This window comes from Homo sapiens, chromosome 8, assembly GCF_000001405.40.
Source record: "Homo sapiens chromosome 8, GRCh38.p14 Primary Assembly".
Classification (NCBI taxonomy): Eukaryota; Metazoa; Chordata; class Mammalia; order Primates; family Hominidae; genus Homo; species Homo sapiens.
Genome location: NC_000008.11, coordinates 108,943,778 through 108,952,421, shown reverse-complemented (window position 1 = coordinate 108,952,421; position 8,644 = coordinate 108,943,778). Strand labels below are relative to the sequence as shown.

The window sequence follows — 8,644 nt, the reverse complement described above, 5'->3', positions numbered from 1 at the left end:
AACTTCATGTTTTACAGAGATGAGCCAATTGAAGCCATCAGAATATCAAATTTATTAATCCTAAAATGCAAGTTTAAAGAAGATTGAAGGCAATTAAAAATAATACAATTCTATAATAGGGATAAAAATATAATCAGAATAACAGAAGCAATATTAAAAATGGATACAGCTAAGAAACTGATTAAAGTGAATGAGCCTTATCTATGCAAAATAATTTTTCTGCTTGTATTCTATTAGTCAGATAATCAACTACAAGTTTTTTTAAATTTTGTATTATCTTATATAGTATTTTATTTTAGAAAGAACTTATTTTTGAAAATTGGTTTATTATTCTTACTAGCCTACAACATAGTTGTATTTAAACCCATTTGCCAGTCTATATATATTTAAAATTGTATAATTTTATTGATCTTAGTGTCCTGTTTTATTCTCAAAACTGTCCTGTTTGGAATATAATTTGTGTCTTTGTGACAGTAATCAACAAATCCAAAAGATCTTCTTTAGAACTCAGACACTTTGAATGGCAAAGAATGGGAGAATTTTAATAATTTCCATTCAGTATCTCTTAGCCTGTCACCCAGATAATCTCATCTAACTTTCATAATAACTCTACTCTAGATGTTATTTACTCTATTAAAATATAACAAAAACAGCCAGGCCAGTGGCTCACACCTGTAATGTCAGCACTTTGGGAGGCCAAGGTGAGTAGATCATTTGAGGTGAGGAGTTTGAGACCAGCCTGGACAACATGGTGAAACCCTGTCTCTACTGAAAATACAAAAATTAGCCAGGCATTGTCACGGGTGACCGTAATTCCAGCTACTAGGAAGGCTGAGGCAGGAGACTCACTTGAGCCTGGGAGGCAGAGGTTGCAGTGAGCTGAGATCACACCACTGTACTCCAGACTGGGCGACAGAGTGAGACCCTGTCTTCAAAAACCAAAATAATAAAAATAATAAAATAAAACAAAAATGAAGGTTAGAAAAGTGAAGTAAATTGCTGAAGATCACACAACTATTAATTTGCAAAGACAGAATTAAAACTTCGGTTTGCCTGTCTCTGAAGTCTTAGCTTTTAATTATTATGCCATATTTTGGAAGACAGATTCTTAATCTTATTATTAGTGTTTGTTATTATCTGATTATAAAGTTGGAATACAAAAAATATATTTTTAAAAAGTCTGTAGTATCAGGCGGGGCACGGTGGCTCATGCCTGTAATCCCAGCACTTTGGGAGGCCAAGGCAGGTGGATCACCTGAGGTCAGGAGTTCAAGACCAGCCTGACCAACATGGAGAAACCCTGTCTCTACTAAAAATATAAAATTAGCCGGGCATGGTGGCACATGCCTGTAATCCCAGCTACTTGGGAAGCTGAGGCAGGAGAATCACTTGAACCTGGGAGGCAGAGATTGCATTGAGCCAAAATTGCACCACTGCACTACAGCCTGGGCAACAAGAGTGAAACTCCATCTCAAAAAAAAAAAAAAAGTCTATAGTATCAGTACAAATAAATAACTTTGGTAGTATTTGGGAGGTATTTCCTCAATTATTTTTCTGACACATAACTGAATGTATTTAAGTAATTGAGATCATATAATATATTCCTTTAGCCTGAGAGAAAAAAAAACATAATGTGATAAATAGTTGAAACTAAACTTCCAAATAGTCTTGGGATATTGTCTTTATAGCAACTTGGTCTTATTTCGTAAGTGCCAAATGTTTTTCCTTAAGGGCCTCAGAAAAATGGCCCTATAAAAGAAACAACTTATAATAAATATGTGGCCAAATTTTATACAGAGTATTCAAATCACATTCAGCTCCTTTGGTAGTGATCTTTAATAAAACTCTAAGTTTCTAGAGTCTAGTTGGAGAACAGAGGTCATGGTTTGCTTGACTTTGTGTTTGAGACAGGCTTTGTGTACTTCAAAAAGATTTGTGAAATTGAAATGCATTTTGCAAAATGAAGAATCCTCCATGGATACTTTAAGTAATGTTGAAATTCTTGAGCAATGGCATGTGTTGCTCAAAATCTCTCAGAGGAGATTTTGAATGGAACAAATTGTAAGATACTCTCTTTACAGTGTTACTTAGGATCAAAAAATAGTAACAATGTGAAGATGATTTTTTTTTCTAGAACAAGAAGTACTTCTCAAGTGGAATCCAACTCTAGACATTTATCAAGATGACTGCTCCTCCCACGTGTAATAAAGAATCCATAAGCCCTCATGATGAGCAGTATTTATAGTCATGTTTACATTTTATTGTGAGTTATAGGAAAAAAATATTATTTTGGTCTGTAATGGTTTGTTGCTCAGTTTGGCATTTAGCTCTGGTTTGTATTTACAGATAAAATTTTGAGATAGGAAAATTAATTTGCTTTTACATAATGTCAATTCTATTCTTTTCCAAATCTCCCTAGTTTTTCAATGATTCAATCTTGGAAAATTTTGCTCAAGATTGTGTTTATTATTTGTGTTAATGTTCTCATTTTACAAGTACTAAATTAAGATTTTTTTAAAACAAAAATAAAGAGACGTTCTGACTTCAGACATAGCTCCTTGTTTTGTCACTGCAGGAGGCAATCAGACTGACCTGGGTCCCAATTGTAACTAAGCTTTTTTATTTGTTTGAACCTCAGGTTCCTATTTATATGTTGGAGACAACTACTTCTTAGTGGTGCTTTGAGGATTCAATAAGGTAACAGGCAAAGACTTAGCCAGTGGGCTGGCACATAATACATGAAAACACAAGGAAGATTATTTGGGCTGGAGGGTAGTGGGGAATGGAGGGATGTTGGTCACGTAGACAAGAGGGTAAGTATTTGAGATCTACTGCATGGCATGGTGACTGGAGTTAATAATAATGTATTGTATGCTGAAAAATTGCCAAGGGAGTACATTTTAAATGTAGTCACCACAAAAAAATGATAAGTATGTGAGGTGATGTCTATGTCACTTAGCTTGATTTAATTATCCCAAAATGTGTACATGTATAAAAACACATTGTACCCTATAAATATATGCAATTATTGTCATTCAAAAAATTTAAAAACAAAGTTGTTTTTATTATCTTTCTTAAAAGTGCAAAATGAAAGAAAAAGAAAAGAAATACAAAAACTAAGGCTTGCAAGCTTAGAGAAGTTGCATATTCAGAAGGCATTAATCCTATAATATATACATATAATTCTCAAAGCATAATGTGTGTTGAGACACTCAAAGAACTTCTGCTAAATTGTTGCTATGATCAGAGACAGGAAAAATAAAGAGACTCCTTGGATATCTACAGGAAAGATTGTGAGATAGGACTCATAACTCAGATGAACTAGAGGAAGTAAAGCCATTGGGAGATAGGCCAGGTGCCAACCCCAATCAGCAGACTCATCCACTGAGTGTCAGGTTCTGTGCCAACTCTATGGACACAAGTGCAAGTTAAACAAGCCCTGCCTTCAGGGAAACACAATTAACCACAAGAGTTATTTATGCACAAGGTACTCTGCTGTAGAGAGGGTTGCTTACTAACACAGCCAGGGAGGACTGGGGAAGGATTCCAGCTGCCTGAGCTAAGCCAGGAAGGGAAAATTGGAGTTAGCAAGGCAAGGAAGGTCATTCCAGGCAGTGGAAACAGAATGAGCAAAGGCAAGAGAAAAGGTAATGTTTTATTTAACTAAAAATATGCTATGTGTTTGGAGCTTAAGGATCATGTGAAGAGTGGGCAGAGGTGGAGCCAGGGTGGAAACAGGGTCATGAAGGGTTCTCTCTGCCAGGCTATGGTTCTAGCCACACATAAATGCTTGCAGTTCCTGAATGTAGCACCATCTTAGTCTGGGCTGCGATAACCAAATACCATAGACTGGGTGGCTTAAACAACAAATATTTATTTCTCACAATTCTGCAGGCTGGAATTTTGACGTCATGGTGCTAGCATGGTCAGGTTGTCAGTGAGTGTCCTCCTGTTGGTTCACAGATGGTTGCTTGTATTCTAACATGGGCTAGGGAGAGAAAGCATGCTGTCTTGTGTGTCTTTTATTATAAGAACACTAATCCCATCATGGAGGTTCCACCCTTATGATCTAATTAACTCGCAAAAATCCCATCTTTACACACCATCACACTGGAGATTTGGTTTCTACATATGAATTTTGAAGGGACATAAACATTTAGTCCATAGCCACCAATCTCCCTGTTAACTTTACAACTGACCTTCTCATTACTGTAATATGTCTGGCCCATTCCTTCTTCAGCATCTTTGCACATGTTGTTCCCTCTGCTTAGCCCCTCTTCTCCAAGATTTTGTTGTGATGGCCCTTACAACTCAGGTCTCAAGGCAAATGTAACCTTCTGAAAAAAAGCCTTTACTGACTCTGTCTCTTAATAGTTTTCCCCTAACAACTTATCATAATTTGAATTTGTATCATACACTTTCTTGTTTATGTTTGAATTAATCTCCTTCCCCCCAGTAGAAAGAAAGCTGCATGAAAGTGGAACCTTTTCTGTGTTGTTCACGCCTGTAATTCTGTGCCTAGAACAGAGCATGACACACATTGATACCCAATCAATAAATCATAGGCTTTTCCTTCTGTTGGAAAGTCCCATCATTTCTGCACCAAGCCAATTCCAATCTTCAAGAGGTGTCTAGGAAACTTTCCATTCATCTCTCTTACTTCCTGATTGCTCTCAGAATGAGGTAATTTATTTATTTATTTATTTTTAGATGGAGTTTCACTCTTATTGCCCAGGCTGGAGTGCAATGGCACAATCTTGGCTCACTGCAACCTCCGCCCCTTGGGTTCAAGCGGTTCTCCTGCCTCAGCCTCCTGAGTAGCTGGGATTGCAGGCATGCACCACCCACCTGGCTAATTTTGTATTTTTAGTAGAGACAGGATTTCTCCATGTTGGTCAGGCTGGTCTCGAACTCCCGACCTCAGGTGATCCACCCACCTCAGACTCCCAAAGTGTGGGGATTACAGGTGTGAGCCACCGCGCCCAACCGAGGTGATTTCTAAAAACTGTTCTCTGAGAGAGTACCTTGTACACATTTCTTTTTTTTTTTTTTTTTTTTTTTGAGACGGAGTCTCGCTCTGTCGCCCAGGCCGGACTGCGGACTGCAGTGGCACAATCTCGGCTCACTGCAAGCTCCGCTTCCCGGGTTCACGCCATTCTCCTGCCTCAGCCTCCCCAGTAGCTGGGACTACAGGCGCCCGCCACCGCGCCCGGCTAATTTTTTGTATTTTTTAGTAGAGACGGGGTTTCACCTTGTTAGCCAGGATGGTCTCGATCTCCTGACCTCATGATCCACCCGCCTCGGCCTCCCAAAGTGCTGGGATTACAGGCGTGAGCCACCGCGCCCGGCCCCTTGTACACATTTCTATTTCAACCTTATTATACTGCACTTTATACTGCACTGTATATATTACATATATTATATACTATATATATAGGTATATAGATATACCTATATATGTATATAATACTGCACTATTATACTGCATCTGTTTGTCTCTCCTCCATTTTATTTTGAACTCCCTGGAAGCAAGAGCTGTGTCAACCGGTTTTTTTTATTACCAAATGCCCAGCATGGGGCCTGATAACAGTAGATGCTCAGATAGTTGTTGATTGTTGGTGAATAAGTGAAGGAGGATTGAAGAGGATTGAGACTAGAGGTAGGGAGGGCAGATAGGAGTCTCTAATATCCACTGCTAGGAATCTCACCTTTGAAAGTATACTCACACGTGCACAAGGATGATAGTGGGGCATAATAAAAACAGGAAACAAGCTACATTCTCATCAAAAGGCAATGATTAAATCATATAGTCTACATCTTTATAATGAAATACTAAGTAGCCATTAAAAATGTAACATATATTCACATACTTAAATAGAAATCTCTCCAAATCTTTTATTAAGTGAAAAAGATTAAGTGAGAGACTATTATGTAAAGCAAGTAATATGGTTTGACTCTGTGTCCCCACCCAAATCTCATCTTATAGCTCCCATAATTCCCATGTGTTGTGGCAGGGACCAGGTGGGAGATGACTGCATCATGGGGGCAGGTCTTTCCTGTGCTGTACTTGTGATAGTGAATGGGTCTTACGAGATATGATGGTTTTAAAAACAGGAGTTTAACTGCACAAGCTCTCTCTTTGCCTGCTGGCATCCATGAAAGATGTGACTTGTTCCTCCTTGCCTTCCACCATGATTGTGAGGCCTCCCCAGCCAAGTGGAACTGTAAGTCCAATAAATCTCTTTCTTGTGTAAATTGCCCAGTCTTGGGAATGTCTTTATCAGCAGTGCGAAAACAAACTAATACAGCATGTTCCCATTTGTGTAAAGAAATACTCAAAACTTATGTCTTATCATCCATACATATACATGTATGCAAATATAAAGGAACAAGAACTAAAGGGATATACACCAAATGCTTAACAGTGGATATATATGTGCAAGGAGAGAATTAGGATGTGCTATGGAAAGAGAAAATTCACCATTTGTACTTTTATATTATTTGAATTTTTTACAAGGAGAAAGTTTTTTTATTAATTATGTAATTAAACATGATTTTAGTCTGTGTCACTAATATGGGCAAGAAGTTATTGGGATCTGATCAATGACAATTGCAAAAAAAAATTTTCAGATTTGTAGAACTTAGTGAATAATTGTAGAAAATGAGGGAGAAGGAAAAGTCTAGGGTGACCAAGATTTTAACCTTAGATACTTCAGTGGATGGTGATATTTACTCTGTCAGACAACAAGGCAGAGAATACAAGATTTAGATGGGAAGAAGATATGTTTAGTTTAGGCATGTTGAGTTTGAGGTGCTTATGGAATTTTCAAATGGACACATTTACTAGTTAGTTGTACATATGAGTCTTGAGTACTGGATAGAGACTGGGAATTAAAAATGAAGATTTGGGACAATCAACACAGATTAGATACTGAAGTTGGAGAGCAGGTGTTTGTCTATCAGCAGTCATAAAGCAGGGAGATCAATAAGTCCCTCGAAATGATATGTAAAATTTGTGAATATGCCCCCTACCCCCCAGTCCTCACACTTCTCTGAAAGAGTTCATCATTTCAACAGATTTTTGAAAGAAGCTCATGACTCAAAAAGATTGAGAGGAATCTGGTAGAGTGAGAATGGAAAATGGTTGACGACAAACCTTGAGGATGACCAGTGAAGGAAGCTAATTTTTTTTAAAGAAGTGAGAGAACAAAAAGAAATCATGATGGAGACTTAGAATTTGCAAGGAGATAAACAGAGACATAAGAATATTAAGAAAGTTAAGAATATTAGGGTGGAGAAAAATCAAGAAAAATGAACAATTTGAAAGTATGAAATTCTTCGGAAAGTTCCACTAAATGCAATCTTCCTGCTAAGTAGAGAAAGCAGGTAACTTAAGGCTATATACCAACAAATTAATAATTATCTTATTTGTCAAGGAATACAGAAGCAAAGAGAATGACGTAAGATGTCTGCTTATTTGCAAAATATCCTATCTTGGTTTGAAATTTTGTTTTTTCTTTTTTTTGAGTTATGAAGCCCTAGAAACTATCCAAGTATTAATAGAATAATGGCCTATGATCCTCAACCAAAAATCAGAGAGCCCTCAGATGGGAAATGTTTATTGGAGGCTGTTTCATACTAATTTATGCAGTGACAGCATATAAACATTTCGTAGAGAGAGATTAAGGAACTTGTCATTGTACTGTGTATGGGTTACAACATACATATTACTAACCACCATCTCCACAAAGATAGCATGTGGCAGAGCCTGAATATTAGCCTAAGTGTGTATTCTGAACACCAGACACATTTCTTCTTCATTGGAAGAAGTAACACTACATATTGTGTCACTAACCCAGTACCTATCTGGTTAAATCAGATCTCCTTCCAAGACTTTTTCTGAGAAAAGTGATATTTCAAATAGCATGATGTTGGGACATACAAGTTCTGAAATGTTTTCTCCTAGATGCCTAAACTAACAGTCTTTGGAGGGCTTGGAGAAGGCAGTGAGCCAGGGTGTGGTGCAGAAAACCAGTGCCTACACACAGTGGGCCTTCAGTTTGCTTCTTGGGACCCCGATTGACTCAGAAAAGCTTTCTTCTAACTTAGTTTGCATTACCTTGGAGATTAGTTAGGAGAGTAAATCCAAAAATGGCAATGAAAATTTCATTACTCATCTCAGGTATCCATTTAGATTTTACTTTGTTTCATTTTATATTTCATTTTTGCATTTCCCCATCTTCTTGCAGTCTTCTGTAGGCTCCTGCTACTGTGTACATTCTTTCCAGGGTTCCAGGGTTAGTCATTGTGGTTTGCATACATTGAGTTGTCTGTAGTACCTTTAATGTCCTGAGTTATGCTGTGGTGTGGAAACTATAGCTGTTACAAAGAGTAAATGATCTGTGAGTCCAGGATTTCTGCAAGAGAGAAACATAAAATAAATCCCTTTCAGGGAATAATATTAAAGGGAAAAATAGAAGAGAAAGAGAAAGAGAGCCTTTGTTATCAATTTGCCCAGTTTCTTGACTACCTCTGAGTCAATTTCATCAGTGGGGATGCTCAATTCCATCCTAGCACAGGGTAGAAAACTTTTATGTCCAAGTTAAGAACCAAAAAGGGAACTAAATAGGTTTTTCTCTATGCT

General features: G+C 37.6%; 1 long non-coding RNA gene across 3 annotated transcripts in view; it reads left to right on the top strand.

Annotated features, from left to right (window-relative positions):
* The first annotated feature begins 3,513 nt into the window (after positions 1 to 3,513).
* The window catches only part of LOC101927413 (uncharacterized), a 78,895-nt gene continuing 73,764 nt past the window's right edge, over positions 3,514 to 8,644 (top strand). For all 3 annotated transcript variants that reach the window (NR_188035.1, NR_188034.1, NR_188033.1), the window contains exon 1: positions 3,514 to 3,647. This is a non-coding gene — a long non-coding RNA (uncharacterized LOC101927413). The remainder of the gene's footprint in view (positions 3,648 to 8,644) is intronic.